The following is an 18,035-nucleotide window of genomic DNA, read 5'->3' on the forward strand; positions in this document are numbered from 1 at the left end:
TTTCCAACTTTCTTAGCAGTTTCAGATGGTACATTGTGAGACAAAGGCAAAAGCAACAGGGAGAATCATCTCATGAGAAAAATTAGCAATAAAGCACTGTGACAGGACAGCAAAGGCACTTTGTTAAAAAATTATTTCAACCTGAATAATTTGACAGTGTTAATTTGTTAAGAAAAAAATATCTAGAACACATACCACCCTGAGATCCTTAAGCAGTTCTCTGAAACTTTGTTTAATACAAACACTTCCACTGCATTGCAATTGGGAATACATCTTTCAACCCACATTTTGCCTGGTTATAAGTCCTATTGGGTACTGAGCAGAGGCAGTCAATTTGGTTTGCTTTATGATCTGAACCAAACACAAATATTAAGTGAGGTCAAATAACACACCCCACTGGCAATCCTCAAATCTCTAAAGCTGATTTAAAAGAGACTGGGAAATTGAGCTCAACAGAAATGGCAAAAATAAAGAAGTTCATTTTTAATGAACAAGGAAGCCTACCAATACCAATCTCCATTGGGCCACAGATGCCTCATTGTGCCCAAATTGGATTGGAATGCACAAGCCAACAAGCACAAGCACAACTGCCCCTCCACCCCCACAAAAAAAATCACAATTTGGCAGAAGAGAAAGATTTAGAGGAATGTTAACTTAATGCACCTAAAATTCAAATCATGATTAGAAAAGGGTATTCTGGATATGACAGTTTAAGGTAGGTAAAGAGAGTTACGAATATGTTCAAAGTAATTGGAAAATGAGCCTAATACCAAGAGAATTACAGAATATTGGTGATGGAAGAGAATTAGAGAATAATTTTTACCTTAAAGTGTAGATCCTGAGTTCAGGAAGAAGCAGTTACTTGCTCAAGGTCAGTGTCTAAAACTAAAACGGGATTAGAACCCACACCCTTTTGAGTCTGGTGCTCTCTCTACTCTGCCAATTGTTCTCAAGGCTGTGGGGGGATGTTAAGAGTTTCTCAAAGTTCACAACTGGGCCTCTTTCTTTCTCTCTCCTCCTCTTCCTTATCTCATTCTTTTCCCAAGCTTTTATTCTCATTGACAGACTTAGTCATCCAAACGTATTTCTCCAGTTCTGACATCTCTGAACTCCAGACTTAGAATCAACAGTTCTATTTCTGGGTCTCCCAGGCCGCTCAAACTTAACATGTGCAAATGTAAACATCTACCCCCCATCCTTCCCACTACAGACTTGTTCCTCCCTGCTTGTTCTCTATCTACTAGATGGAACTATCATCTTACCAGTGTCAGCCTTGAATTGGTATCTTTTCTTTACTCTTTCCCTACAGCCAACCATCAGTAAGACCTCCTAAGTGTATCTCGAAAACATCTATCCACTTTCTCTGACCCCACCTTAGTCCAAGCCACCAACATCTTGTTCCTGGACTGCCTCCTAACCTCTCTCTCTGTTCTGATTTTTCCACTTCCAGTTCATTTGCCACACAGTAGCCAGAGTGATCTTTTAAAGACATTCCGTTTACAATAAAATCCAAACCCCTCACCATTGCCTATAAGATCAGGCATTATTTGTCCGCTTACTTCTCTAATCTCATGGCGTGCCACCTTCTTCCTTGACCCCTCTGCTCCTGGTATACTGAACTCTCTAAATTCTCAAAACATACCACGCTTTTTCTAGTGCAGGACCTTTGTACATGCTGCTCCCACTGTCAGGAGTGCTCTTTTCATTGTGAAAGGCTGGTTCCTTTTATAATTCCGGGCTCATGTTATATGTCACTTCTAAAAAAGAGGCCTTTCCTGATCACTCATCTCAATGACATATTTTTTTTAATTTAATCTTTCAATTTCAATTAATCTTTAATATTTCAGAAAGTATATCAACATTGCCTAACATGCTGTTTTACACACAATAGATACATGATCAATGTTTGATATAAATATACATATCTTTAAAATCTTTGGTTTAACCAGCTAAACTTTTAATATTTTATGAACTAGTTAGCCCTGAGTCATAAATTTACCTACTTTTTTTTTTTTTTTTTTTGAGATAGTTTCACTCTCTTTGCCCATGCTGGAGAGCAGTGACGTGATCTCAGCTCACTGCAACCTCCAACTCCCAGGTTCAAGAGATTCTCCTGCCTCAGCCTCTCAAGTAGCTGGGATTACAGGCACCTGCCACCACACCCAGCTAATTTTTGTATTTTTAGTAGAGACAGGGTTTTGCCATGTTGGCCAGGCTGGTCTCGAACTCCTGACCTCAGGTGATCCACCCGCCTCACCCTCCCAAAGTGTTGGGATTACAGGCACAAGTCAGCATGCCCGGCCAGATTTACTTATTTTTTATGAGATTTAAAACTGTTTTTAGAGATAGAGTCCTGCTATGTTGTCCAGGCTGGAGTGAAGTAGCTATTCACAGGCATGATCATTGCACACTACAGTGTTGAACTTCTGGGTTCAAGTGATCTTCCGACCTCAGCCTCCCAAGTAGCTGGGACTACAGGCATGTGCCACTGAGTCCGGTGTATTTTTATAAGATTTTTAAAAAGATAACATATTCTAAATTATGACGTCCACATACCATTTACTTTTGTGTGGAATTATAAGGTGATATTTTAAATGATGGGAATGAACAAGTTGACATGTATATCAGTAACCTCTAAACATCTATTTCAAACATCTATTAACTGAAAGTGATGATTCCTCCAGCTCTTATACTAAGAACTTCCATACATTAGAGCAATATACATATTCAAAAAGTGACCTAGTTCAATTAGACAAGTAAATAATTTTCCTATGTTTAGGTAAATTTGAAAAATATACATAATTACTACCTCATCCTAGTTAGAATCTCATTTATATTTATTCCACTATGTTCATGATTTTGTAACCAACTTGGAAGGCATCGTATTATTAAAAGTGTATCAGATTAGCTCCCTCAACTTACTATGTCTAGTAACCATTCTGAAGAAATAGGCACTGGCTTTGAATATGGCCTGTTCCAGTTTGTGAACAGTCGTAGGCAAGTAAAGTTGTTGGGCAAAGAGGTGAGCTATAGGATGACTGAGGGTAAATTGTCACTACTGTATATAAAGAAGACAAATGAGATATAGGAAGAGATCTGTTATAATAACATATATGACATATATCTAAGTTTTTCATATATTTCAGAATTATAGAAAAAAAAGTATGTAATCTTTTCTAAGATGTATGGATGACTTACTTTTAATAATATTTCTTGATTTATAATGTAAATAAGATTAAGCGAATATGGGTTACTCTTGAATTTAAAAATTGGCACATGTAAATGAGCATTTTAATACAAATAATTAGAATATATTTATACTGTATACACAGCTACACAACGGAAGATACTACTAAAATTTTGCTCTATAGCACATTACCCTAGAAAACATAGAATTCTAGAATTCTCTTTAAAAAGATCACTGAGAATTATTAGATGATGACTGTGAAATAGGTTCTCCCAGTACAATACTACTTCTGTCATTCAAAGTTCTGACAACAGTTGTAGCTGAAGACTGAAGCACTTTATGAGAAAGCCTCATTCTTCCATCAGCTGGGTCACATCCAAAGTATTTCACCTGAATTTCTTGGCCAACTTCTAATCCTAGGGCAGTAGGATGTTTAATATTTCATTGATCAAGTTGTGTGTTATAAAGCAGTACCAAAATCATATTTGGATATAATTTTACCATTACACCAGTATCTCTGCTTTCAGTTATTGTGGCAGTACACACTGCTCCAAATTCTAATTGCTGCTCCTGATCATCCTTGCGGATTTCAGCAATGAAGTCTCTTGCCTCATGCATAGCACCGGGTGTTGGTGCAAATATAGAAAACGTTTCTTCATCCACCTGACTAATAGTTACAACTGTTTCAGCCTGAAGTTTTTTAAGTTATATCCACCTGGTCCAACAAATTTTTCTCATTTTGATAATGGAACCTGAACAGTTTCTACAACAGGTCCATTTTCTTTTCTAGATGCTTGAGGTTTTGAAATAGCTTTGTTCATGATCTGTAAAATCTCCTTTTTGCCACTGAAGCTTGTTGAATAGCCTCCATTACAATTTTCATTGTTATTCCAGGTAATTTAATATCTGCCTGTAATGCAGTTATTCCTTTATTAGTGCCAGCTATTTTGAAGTCCATGTCACCATTGTAAGCTTCAATTCCCAGAATATCTGTTAGCAAATGATAATCTTCTATTTCACCCTTCTCAAGATCGGTTTTGGTGGCCAATCCCATTGCTACACCTGTGACAGCAGATTAAATTGGAAGCCCTGAATCCATTAATGCTAAACTTCCACCACATGCAGATGCCATAGAAGATGACCCATTTGACTCTAGGACTTCAGATGTAACTCTTATGGCAAAAGGAAAATCTTTGGGAATAACAGGATACAAAGCTTTCTCAGCAAGAGCATCAGGCCCAAGTTCTCTTCTATTTATACCGGTGACTTTGACAATTTCATTAGTTGCATAAGGAGGAAACTCATAGTGCAGCATGAAATTTTTATCTTTTATCCCATTTATAGTTGTTATAACTCGATCCAACTTAATACTGGATTCTAATGAATCAAATGTAACAGCACAAAGCAGCTGTGTTTGTCCTCTTTGAAATAATTCTGATCCATGAAGGGTTTTAAACATATCTACCTCACAACTTATATTCCGAAGTAAAGTCAAATCCCGACCATCGCATCTTTTGTATTCATTCAAAATAATACTTCTAAAAACTTTCTTTGCAACAGTATTGAAGGATTCTATTATCTCATATAGATCGACCTCTGGAAATATTTCTTTTAGTTGTTCCTCTGTATCTAATCTTATTTTGTTAACAGCTTCATCTCTGGAAATTTTATCATGTTCATAATCTGTAAAAACTGCATAGAGTCTCTCCATAGTGAGTTTATGAGCATGTTTCACAATCTCTTGTGAAGGGGTAAATAACTTCTGAGGTGTCCTCTTGGTAACACCAATTTCTTTTACCAGCTGCTGGATGCCCTGAATTATTTGCTGGGTATATTTCACTCCCACTTTGATAGCGTGGCAAAAGTCCTGCTGTAAAATGTTCTCTGCAGAGGCTTCCAACATGACAGTCTGACTTTTAGGTGCTCCAGCAACCACTACATTTAAAGTACTAGAAGACATTTCTTTTCTTGTTGGGTTAACAACACATTCTCCATCAGTCATTCCTATTCATACTGTCCCAACAGGTCCATTCCAAAGAATATCTGATAATGAGAGGGCTACAGAGGTTGCCATTAATTGCTAGGACATCAAGTTCATTAATACCATCTACTGCTAACAGATTACACAGAACCTGTATATCACAGAAGTAGCCAGCTGGAAAGATAGGTCTAACTGAACAATCTACTATTCAACGTGTAAGAATTTCTTTATCAGAAGTACTAATCTCTCTTCTCAGAGGGTTTGTGGGAATTCTACCTACTGCAGCAGCCTTTTGTCCGTAGTCAACCACCAAAGGCATAAACTGGGAAGGGGAAGGTTTTGTTTTACTGACGGCTGTGGCCATTACCGCAGTGTCACCTGACTGTATTACAGCAGAGCCATTTGCAAATCTGGCCAGCTTTCCAGAGGATATTTCTAATTTCCTGTTGCCCAAGTCCATGGCCACAGCTTGAGACCCTGTGCTACTCAATAGTGCTCGCACCTGCAACTGGATGAGTGCCCGATCCCACCCTGGCAGACAGAAGGGACCATCACTCAGCGGCCGGAGCCACAGGCTCAGTGAGGTCTTAGCTTCCTCCTGTTATCCTCTGTAGCAATGCCTTAGTGTTTCCTTCACAGCACTTATTACAATTTGTAGTCATTTACTGATGTGATTATTGGTTATTATCCCTCATGAGTCTCACAGCTAAATGACAGCAGGGATCAAGTCTGTCTTCTTCCCTGTGTCACAGCTGTATCTGGCACCAAGCACATACAAGGCATTTGATAAGTATTCTTTAACATAATGAAAATGAAGTACATTTATAACACTATTCTTTCTACCCAAAGAGAACAAAAAAATTATGGACTTCCATTCTGTGTCAATATATTCAACAGGATAGAAGAAATAACACAACTGAAGGTTGCAAAATACTGAAAGTTATCAACGCTTATTCTCTAGAGATCCTTGTTAAACAATGTCCCATCCATCAAGGGTGAATTAGATTTGTCCCTGGCTTGAGGACAGAATAAGATGACTTCACCCGACTCCTTATAAACTTATAATTTTATGAAAAATCCATGAGCTCTCATCTTTCCAGCACTCTGATAACGAGGTAATTACCCTTTTAATGAAAAAGGAAGCCTTTTTATATCTATCCCCATTGAATTATGGACCTCAAAATTGAAATGAAGTCTAATAGACATCAAGCACAACTACCTGCCAGTTCCTAACAAGGATGAGGAAAAAAAAATAGTGATATCTGGGGAGCCAACGGGCAGTATGACAGGGTGTCCTTCCTGCCTTCTCTGATGACACTTTGCTATCAACACCAGTTCTTCCTTTTGTGCCTTACTCAGTTTGTAAGCCAGTCTGCAACAGTAGAAAAGTCATTAGTCACCCTTCCCTATCTGTTCCATGGGCTTTGAAATGAAGCCCTGGTTCAGGTTCCCATTTAGGTGTGACTTTCTCCATTCCTACTATGTTGACTGTAATCAAAGGGCTGGGCTCAGTCCTGACAACACGTTCAGATCCCACACTGCACTAGCCCTGCTCTAGAATCTCAATCTATTTTCCCAGTGTCCTAAGACCTGTCAAAGCCCCTGCCACCAGCCTCTTCCACTACTGACTGAGCTCTTCCATCAAACGACTGATTAATGGAACCACAACACCGACACCCCACATGAATTGCACCCGGAGCCCACAATCCATACTCCTTCCCCATGCTCCTTCAGTTTATCGATGCTGTTTAATTATCAGTAGTGGCTCGGATTAAGCCCTAAACATCTAGCTACCCTGTTCCACAGCCAAGACTGTTACTCTCACTCCTCACTCCTAGGTCTTGCCTAACTCCCCCCATTTCAGGTATTTTATAGCTGAGTCTCTACAAGTTATCACTCACAGCTAAATTCACACTTTTACTTGGTCTCTACATTTTAATCCTTGGTGATCTCTTTTTATGCAATTGCCAGTTTAGAGGCATAATCTTGTAAACCTTTACCTTCTGGACAGTAGCATCGGAAAGTTCATTACTTTCAGTTACGATACAACAGCGAGTGACAAATGCAGCTTTGGAAAGCGGAAAACTTCTTTCTCCTTGAGAGTCTCTGCACAACTTTCCACATTTGGAACCCAAGGACATTTCCTTTCTCTCTCTGCTAACATGGAGTACAGAAAGGTTACATTAGCTAATAAAAGCCCTCTGCTGACAAAAGATGCGTTTGAAAAGTCACTCGAAAAGGGAGCTCTCTCGATAGCTTTATTAAAATAAAATGCCATATCTTTGTGAAGTTAAAAGTCTCTGGATTGTGGTTAAAAGTCTGGTCTGCTCCTTATACAATGGAAAGTCTTTCAAAAGCCACGTGTTTCTTAAGCTGGCCTCACCATGCATAACAGCTAGAATATAAATCTAGACTCTCGCCGCCCATCTATCTTTTCTTTTCTGTGTCATGTAGAGGTTCCTATGTGAAGGAAAGATCTCCAGAATAAGATGAGAGATAGCTTTTATAAGAACACCAAATGATAGAAATTATGGAAATCATGATATTGAAATAATTTCTTCCAAGTTAAAACATCAGGAACATTTTTGCTTATCAGATAGGCAAGAATACTTAAATTTGAATGTTGGTCAGCATTCAACAAGAAGGCAGTGCCTAGACCCTTGGCTTATGAATTGGGGGCAATTGCAGCTTCCTTCATTCCTCTGAAGGGTTGAGAACTTATGCAAAGCCATGGGTGCAGTGCTGTCCGACGCCCTGCAGAGGTGATGCCAAGAGTAAGGCTAAATATGCCGTTTTTGAGAGGGAGCCCAGAAAGCCAGACTTCAGCAGACACCAAAGAGTCTATTGAACTACTCTGATGGGAGGATATGCAAGAGCAATGCTGAATAGTAACACCCCTGAAGAGAGACACCATGGAAAGTAGTTGTCGGACTTGTGGCTACAAACAACAAGAAAGTCCTTCGCCTGGAGCTGCCTCTGGAAAGAGCAGCTAGACTCTAGCTGGAGAGTCTGACAGAGAAACACTTCCTAGCAGAGGCTCAGCTTCTTGCCCTTCCAGAATGAGAGGCTGTGTGGTTTTGTGTTCAAGATCACGCTATGAACATGATATGAACGGTTGGTATGTCGAGACACCTTCATTGAAAAGAGAGAATAAGAAATTGCTCCCTGAAACCTAGAATAGATGGTGCCCCAGGATTGATCACAATAATCATTGGGAATATACATTGTAGAGACCTCAGATTCCTATTGCACATGTGTCCTACAAAGAAGGGTTACAGAGATTCTATCTTGAATTGTTTGTGAATTTTTCCACATGCATTACTTTTGCTGGATTATAAACTTCTACAACACAACCATATGTTTCACTTCTTATAAAATCTCTCACAGGGTCTAAGTCAAAGTCAAAGGACCGTCATTAATCAGTTGATTGGCACTAGAGTGGTTGGCCTAGCGTTGGTGGACATAGTCATTCTCAGTGTCAGAAAATCTTGCACCCTATCGGAAAAGCGTAAGAGGAAACACAAAAATTAAACAGAGGATACAGCAACATAATAGTTCTATAAAGATAGTACATACTGGGAGTCTAAAAAACATCCATATCTTTTGACATAAATCTATTGCTAGAAAATCATCCTACCAAAATATCTAAAGAGTAAAGAAACTTTATGAAGAAAGTCATTCTTTGAACAGAATATAGAAGCAGAAAAATTTTGAAACAATCTAAATATCAACAATAGAGGATATGTTATATAAACTAAGAATCTTCTTCTGTGTAAACCTGCTATTAAAAATAATGCTTAAGAAGTATTTTCAAAGGTTTAACAAGTGGTTATGACGTAATGTTCGGCAACAAACAATTGTATACAAACTAGGATCTCAATTATGTTGAAGTGTGTAGAATATTGACAGTGGGTATTTCTGAGTGGTAGGATTTGGGGTGTTTCTAATTTTCTTGTTTGAACTTTCTATTTTATACTTTTCAAGTTTCCTGCAATAGTAATGTTTTACTTTTATAATCAAAAAACTATTGAAATAATACTTTAAATTATGCATGTGAAAAGATTACCTGGTCCAGGTGGTCATTGTATCCAGCTGAAGGTGTTAAATCTAGCTAGACTCTGGCCTGGGTCTTGAGAGGTTAGTATCTATACCCCACCTTCCCTTCTAAACAGGTTAGCAAGCTGGCAAGCTGGTAAAGGAGCCTAGCCTCTTCCTCCCTACAGGACACTGCAACATCAAAACAAAGCCTCTAAATACTCCCCTAAAGACAAGGAAGACTAATATCTGTGACGTAGCTATTCTCTTCTGGGACATAGAGGAAAAAAATAGGTCTCTCTCATAACAAGACACCATTCATTTCTCAGGTTAAGCTGCCATTACCTTCGAACACACAGAAGCTGAGGGCTGTTTCTGCAGCCCTATCCTACCCAGTCAGCCCTCTGCGTGCTCTCAACTGCTATTCTCACTGCAGACCACCATTTTCAGACAAAGCTCTGAAAAGCCCCTTAATGCCCAAGAGCCACAGGTTGTGTTTGTGTTAATTACTACAGGGCTCAGTTCACAATATCACTTAATAAAAATTAATAATTTTCAAGAATAGATTCATAATCTTCTCAGTTATCAGAACAGCTGAAGTTATTTATGTGCTTATTGGAACAATATTATAAATGTTTGCTTTGTTTTAATACTTCATTGATGAATCACATAATAGTTTATAAAATCATGTTTTTACCTGATATACTTAGTTGGCCATGTTTTCCTGATTACAACAAACAGATGAAAAATAATTTCTGAGTTATTTCCTTTTTCCTTCAGTATCTCAAAGGATGTTCACTGTGAATACTGACAAAATAATTTATTATTATTTTCCTAGATTCTGACCATCTGCTGCTAATCAATTCATTAGAAATTCAACTCAAAAAGAAAATTTTTGGAGATAGTATGTTAATATACCAGTTTAGAGAAAACAACATACAATTACTTTTGCACAAAGTCAGTTGGAGAATAGTTTGAGAACTGTCTAGAGACAGCAAGATATTCTCAAGATGCTCCAAGTATCCATTCTGACTCTATGACTATTCTGAGCACAAACTCAGGATTTTAGTTTCCTTCACTAATATCTAGTAATAAAAAACCTCCATGTGTTATTTATGAGAACAGTTAAGCAGATAAATAATAAAGTCTCCTGACACTTCAAAGGAAAATGAAGAAAATATGAGTAAATATAAAATCAATTCATCAGATACATTTTAAATTCCAGCTGTTAGAGTCAGAAGGAATCACAGAAGATCATTTCACTCCATCTCCTGGGTTTATGCTGATAAGCTACTGCTCTATCCATATGAGCGAAGATGCAGCCGCAGGTTAAGGGGCAAGCCTGTTGCCATACAGCTGGTTAGCACCAAGAAGCAAAGTGAAGTTAGATTTCAGTTTCTAGTATCCTCATACAGGCCTCTTCCCAATGAGCCAAGCTACTTCTCTTTTAAAAATAATTCTGTCTGGAACATTAAGGGGGTCATCCGTACTGATTCTTCATGTTTTAAATACATATTGTTTGCCAGTCATTATGCTAATAAGAATACAAAAAGAAAACAATATATAGTATCAGCACTTGAAGACCTCACAGTCCAGTAAGGAAAACGTCAACATGAACAATACCCATATGATACTTGCATAGCAATGTGAGCACAGTGCTATGGGAACATAGAAGAGGGAGCAATAAATTCTGCTAAGAAAGTGTTAAAAAGTTTCACAGAAGAGCTAGGCCCCAAAGGATGAGTAAGAGGTATTTAGGCAGAAGGAACCATGAAAACAAAGGCAGGGATGTGAACAACATCTTTGAGGAGGAGCCAGCATACAGAATGAAAGATATTGCGCATCAAAAGCAAAACAGCCTTTGCTTTTACACAGACCTATCATGGTAAAGCATCCTCACAGCTGTACACATTTAGGTAATCTCTGTGTTCCCCAGCCCCTCTAAAGAGCATCACTGTGTCCTCCTTGCCTATATCCATGCCCTCTGTCAGGAAAGGCCTTGCCCTTTTCCTCTATGCCAACTCCCCACTGTCCCTCCTGATACATCTCCAATATTACCTCTTCTCCAACCTCCCTGGGAGAGTTAATTACCTCCTCCTTTGGGCTCCTATAACAACTTTTACATCTCTTGCAAGAGGTTACTTGAATTACTTGTTTACATACATGTCTATCTCCCAAACAAGTCTAAAAATGGTAGGCTTCTAAATAATTATATGTTTGATAAATATGAATGAATGACCTTTTCTATGGAAAGCTAGGCGCTAAAGGTGATAGAGAGATAACATGCACATACGAACTCTCAAGGGAAATAGACAGACACATAGATAATGTATAAGTAGAATAATAATTCTTTGAATTGAAATCCCCAGGGAAACATTTTCACTCAACCGAAAATCTAACTGCAATCTAAAGATTTTCACATACAACCACTTGGCATTGACTTACAACTCCACCTAGATAGGTTCATAAAGTCAGATCCTTTTCTTGTTACATTCTTAGAGCTCATAAAAGGTGGTCTGAAAAGGCAACTCTTTGGGTATAATTTAGTCTTATTAAACAGAATTGTAAGGGAGAGAAAATGACTGTCTAGTCCTTTATCATTGGGCATGTAATCCATTATAAAGGTGTTAAGCTCACTGGTAAGTGTAAAAATGAGAGGAAATGAGTCTACTGACAAAAAATGCAATGAGACAATAAACTAAAATTAATGCTTCACAAATTCTCAGCTTCTCAGCCTTATTGTCTCAATTTGTTATTCTCATAAATTATCAGAAAGTAAAGCACAGCCACTGCTCCTAAAAATAAAAATCTTATTAAACTTACTATGTATAAAACTGCCTGAAGACATTGGCTCTCCTTTGACCTCATGAGTTACTCAAGATACTCAATCCCAGGGTTCAAAAAATATATCTCATTAGCAGTACCAGATGTCAGCAGATGTGTTATTAAACTGCCTGTCACTCAAGCCTCAATCCTGAAAAATACCTAGGTCACCTAATCCTTTATGCCATCCACATCTTTTCACATATAATAACAGGAACTTTAGTGCCTGGAATTGTTATTAATAATAATTCCAAAAACTCAATCATTTCTGGGATGCCTTTGAGTTAATGGGAAAGAAGCTACTATCTGCCTGACAAATTGCTGCACACTGGTAAAAGATGATTGACAGAGGATAGATAGTGTATTAGCCTCCTTGGGCTATGTCATAATCCATTCAGCTGGCTATCACAAAATACCATAAACCAGGTAGCTTATAAACAACAGAAACATTTCTCACAGCTCTGGATTCTGGGAAGTCCAGCATCAAGGCCCTGGCATATCTCTTGTTTGGTGAAGGCCCACTTTCTGGTTCACAGATGGCAACTTCTTGCTGTGTCCTCACATGGCAAAAGGGGCAAGAGAGTTCTCTGGGGCCTCTTTTACAAGGGCAGTAATCCTATTTCTGAGGGACCTGCCCTTCATAACCTAACTACTTTCCCCACCTTCCAATACCACCACATTGAGGATTAGGATTCGATGTATGAATCTGGGGTTTACACAAACATTCAGACCATAGCAGGCTACCTTAAAAACCACAAACCGGTGGCTTAAACAATAGAAATTTATTTTTTCATACTTTTGCTAGCTGAAAGTCCAAGACGAAGGTGTCATCAGGGTTAGTATGTAGCAAGGCCTCTCTTCCTGGCTTGCAGGTCACTGCCTTCTTGTTGAATGCTCACATGACTTTTTCTCTGTGCACTCACAGAGAAAGAATGAAATGAGCTCTCTGGTGTCTCTTCCTGTTTGTATAAGGTATCAGATTATGGCCCCACCCTTCTAAGCTCATTTAACCTTAATTATCTCCTTAAAGGTCCTAACTCCAAATACTATCACCTTGGGGTTAAGGCTTCAAAATATGAATTTGATGAGAGACACAGTTCAGTCCATAACAGACAGACTGATGGATGGATGTGAATGGATGGACAGATGGATGGATGCATGGATGGATGGATGGATACATGGATGGATGCATGGATGGATGCATGGATGGATGCATGGATGGGAGGGACGGAGGGAGGGAGGGAGAGAGGGAAGAAGAGAAGGAAGGAAGGAGGGAAGGAAGAGAGAGAAGGACGGAGGGAAGGAGGGAGAGAAGGAGGGAGGGAGGGATATGATTAACTCATGAAGGAGGTAGGATTACGATCAGACTTAAATCTGCTGGAAGCAAACCATTGCCTGTAAGGTAAAAAATTGAGAAGTGTTAGAAAAGCCTCACACTGCTCCAACATGCTGCACATAAACACGAGCCACAGTGCCTAAAATTTCATATTAACCAAAGATTCAACAAACATTTATCAAGGAAGAACTTTGTGTCTGGCACTGATCTAGTGTTACAGAGCATGTTAACTGAATTCCTCACTGAAGACATTTATATTCTAACATGGATGAAAAAAAATCTATGTATAAGAAAGTTGTTCTTAACCTGAATTACACAAAGGATCACTTGTGGGACTTTAAAAAAATACATATTCCACAATCATATCTTCTGAATCTAAATAGCCTGAGGTAGGCCCTGGGCATTGAGATATATATATATAATCTCTCCAGGGGATTCTGAAGCACAGCAATACGAAAATCCAGTCCAGACTACTGAGATAAGCATTGGCCTTTTCTTCTAAACACTAATGACTCTAGAAGATAATATGTGAAGAACCTACTACCGCAGTGTAAATAAACTCACTAGATGGCTAGCAATAAATGATCCAGAACAATATGAGACTGCTGGGCAAGAGAAGGCATGATTGATTTAAGATAATGTACACGAAACTTGGTAGCAGACATGAAATCCCTTTGTAAACATAAAAGATTATTACTCCTCAGTAGGTCACCATTTTACAAGGCAGATCATTTCATTTTAAGAGCTTCCAAATACTGAGCCAACACATGGTTTTTTTGGTAACTTTCTTCCAATGTGTCTAGGTCCATAGTTTTCAGCGCATGCCTTCTCCCGAAGTCTTCAGGGTGAGACTCCACAATGCCTTAGGTCTAGGACCATAGCCCTCTGAAGTTCCTGAGCAAGTCTGGACCAAGGCTGATCAAGATCACTAGGCTTAGCACCAGAAGTATTTGAGAGTCTGGAATTAATCTTGCGGCCATTACCGCGGGCTTCAGTGGGTTATAAGCCCAGGGCAACTGCATATCTGTTACACTGCAGTGTTCCCTTTAATTCCACCTGCTGCCAGCCCTGAGTCTAATCCATTCAACTGACTTCTGTCTGGGGTTCCTGTTCTCCACTAGAGCTCTCACGGGAACCCTAGCCTGTTTGGTTGAGCTCTGATACTCTGGCCAGCCATTGCCACCTGCACACTTCAGGGCTGGTTTCCATTCCCTATACATCCAGTCAGTGGCTGGGTGACATTTCTTTACTATTGACATGCCCAAGCTGCTATATGGACTCCTGCCTTAGATCATTGATTCTCAGATGGGATGGTTCTGCCCCAGTAGAATGTTTCAGAAACTCTTGATGATATATTTGGTTGTCATAACAGTAACATCTGCCTCCTTCTACAGCATCACCCCATGTTTACTGGCATTTAGAGTGTGGGGGCCAGAGAAAATAGACATCCCACAATGAATGCACTGTGTAATCCACCCAAGGATTAGTTGTACTGTGTTCTCGAACACTCACACAGATGGAAAACCTCTCTGTTAGTATCTGAGCCTAGAAGCTAACTGTTTCACACATAATCTCAAAGTACTTTTTGCAGCAAGTTTTAATATGCAACTAATTTTCCAGGACAGTCTCTAGCCTGTAAATCATGGGGAGGAAACTTTACCAAAAATTGTTCACCACCCTGAAAATCACTTCACCAACACTATAATGACATTCTTGCTACTTGAGTGACAAGTACAAAGCTCCTGTAACGGTCTGCATTTGCAGTTTCCATTCTTCATGTAGCTACAAGCATCTGACTACTTTATTATGTCTTTTAGTGTAACCAAGCTCAAGCCCTTAGGTATTAACTACATATTATGTTACTTTTAATTATTTTACACTTTTAAACCTTTATATAAAAATTAGGGCATTATATTAATTTATTTTCTATATGAAATTAAGTATGTAGAGATATTGTATTACCTACAAGTTATATTATCTGTGAGAGTAAGAAGGGCACTACAAAATGTCTGTTGGGAAGAGGGGATATTAGGTCTGATAGGTTTAAGCTCAGTATTAGTATTTATTGAGAATAAAGTGAATATTCTCAATAAACCCTGTAGATACCAGCCATACCCTTTCATGGCTTCGCCCTTACAGCTGCATCAGTTCCTGCACTTCAGCTCCCAACAAGGCATCCTCCAGGCCAAGGATGTCTCAGGATGCCTTGCAGTCAAATCTATCCATTGGCAGATGCCATCCTACAATTCAAAAATAAAACCTAAAAATTATTTGTGTAATTCATTTGAATTAAAAGCATGACTCTTAGCAATAATAGCATAAAGAGATTGGCTATTACTTTTAAAACCTATATTTCAATAATGCTTTCACATATATTGATTTCATTTGATATTCACAACAACACGATGAGATGACAGAGAAGACTGTGCATTTCTTTTTTTTAAATTATACTTTAAGTTCTGGGATACATGTGCAGAACGTGCAGGTTTGTTACATAGGTACACACGTGCCATGGTGGTTTGCTGCACCCATCAACCCATCATTTTCATTAGGTACTTCTGCTAATGCTATCCCTCCCCTAGCCCCCAACCCCCGACAGGCCCCAGTGTGTAATGTTCCCTTCCCTGTATCCATGTGTTCTCATAGTTCAGCTCCCACTTATGAGTGAGAACTTGTGGTGTTTGGTTTTCTGTTCCTGTGTTAGTTTGCTGCGAATGATGGTTTCCAGCTTCATCCATGTCCCTGCAAAGGACATGAACTCATCCTTTTTCATGGCTGCATAGTATTCCATGGTATATATAATGCCACATTTTCTTTATCCAGTCTATCATTGATGGGCATTTGGGTTGGTTCCAAGTCTTTGCTATTGTGAACAGTGCTGCAGTAAACATACATGTGCATGTGTCTTTACAGTAGAATGATTTATAAGCCTTTGGGTATATTCCCAGTAATGGGATTGCTGGGTCAAATGGTATTTCTGGTTCTAGATCCTTGAGGAATTGCCACATTGTCCTCCACAATGGTTGAACTAATTGACACTCCCACCAACAGTGTAAAAGTGCTCCTATTTCTCTACATCCTCTCCAGTATCTGTTGTTTCCTGACTTTTTAATGATCACCATTGCAACTGGCATGAGATGGTATCTCATTATGGTTTTGATTTGCATTTCTCTAATGACCAGTGATGATGAGCTTTTTTTCATGTATTTGTTGGCCACATAAATGTCTTCTTTTGAGAAGTGTCTGTTCATATCCTTCACCCACTTTTTGATGGGGTTGTTTTTTTCTTGTAAATTTCTTTAAGTTCCTTGTAGATTCTGGATATTAGCCCTTTGTCAGATGGATAGATTGCTTCCACCATTCTGTAGGTTGCCTGTTCACTCTGATGATATTTTCTTTTGCTGTGCAGAAGCTCTTTAGTTTAATTAGATCCCATTTATCAATTATGGCTTTTGTTGCCATTGCTTTTGGTGTTTTAGTCATGAAGTCTTTGCGAATGCCTATGTCCTGAATGGTATTGCCTAGGTTTTCTTCTAGAGTTTTTATGGTTTTATGTGTTACATTTAAGTCTTTAATCCATCTTGAGCTAATTTTTGTATAAGGTGTAAGGAAGGGGTCCAGTTTCAGTTTTCTGCATATGGCTAACCAGTTTTCCCAACACCATTTATTAAATAGGGATTCCTTTCCTCATTGCTTGTTTTGTCAGGTTTATCAAAGATCAGATGGTTGTAGATGTGCGGTGTTATTTCTGAGGCCTCTGTTCTGTTCCATCAGCCTATAAATCTGTTTTGGTATCAGTACCATGCTGTTTTGGTTACTGTAGTCTTGTAGTATAGTTTGAAGCCAGAAAGCGTGATGCCTTCAGCTTTGTTCCTTTTGCTTAGGATTGTTTGGCTATAGGAGCTCTGTTTTGGTTCCATGTGAAATTTAAAGTAGTTTTTTTATAATTCTGTGAGTAAAGTCAATGGTAGCTTGATAGGGATAGCACTGAATCTATAAATTACTTTGGGCAGTATGGCCATTTTCACAATATTGATTCTTCCTATCCATGAGCATGGAATGTTTTTCCATTTGTTTGTATCCTCTCTTATTTCCTTGAGCAGTGGTTTGTAGTTCTCCTTGAAGAGGTCCTTCACATCCCTTGTAAGTTGTATTCCTAGGTATTTTATTCTTTTTGTAGCAATTGTAAATGGGAGTTCACTCATGATTTGGCTTCCTTTTTGTCTATTATTTGTATATAGGAATGCTTGTGATTTTGCACATTGATTTTGCATCTTGAGACTTTGCTGAAGTTGCTTATCAGCTTAAGGAGATTTGAGGCCGAGATGATGGGGTTTTCTAAATATACAATCATGTCATCTGCAAACAGAGGCAATTTGACTTCTTCTCTTCCTATATGAATACCCTTTCCTTCTCTTGCCTGATTGCCCTGGCCAGAACTTCCAATACTATGTTGAATAGGAGTGGTGAGAGAGGGCATCCTTGTCTCATGCCGGTTTTCAAAGGGAATGCTTCCAGCTTTTGCCCATTCAGTGTGATATTGGCTTTGGGTTTTTCATAAATAGCTTTTATTACTTTGAGATACGTTCCATCAATACCTTTAACATCACACTGTCAACATTAGACAGATCAATGAGACAGAAAATGTACAAGGATATTCAGGATTTGAACTC

At 38.7% G+C, this 18,035-nt stretch overlaps 1 pseudogene; it reads right to left on the bottom strand.

Annotated features, from left to right (window-relative positions):
- Positions 1–3,969: 3,969 nt before the first annotated feature.
- PNPT1P1 (polyribonucleotide nucleotidyltransferase 1 pseudogene 1) lies at positions 3,970–5,744 on the bottom strand (annotated as a pseudogene).

The sequence above is a fragment of the Homo sapiens genome, chromosome 3 (genome assembly GCF_000001405.40).
Source record: "Homo sapiens chromosome 3, GRCh38.p14 Primary Assembly".
Classification (NCBI taxonomy): domain Eukaryota; kingdom Metazoa; phylum Chordata; class Mammalia; order Primates; family Hominidae; genus Homo; species Homo sapiens.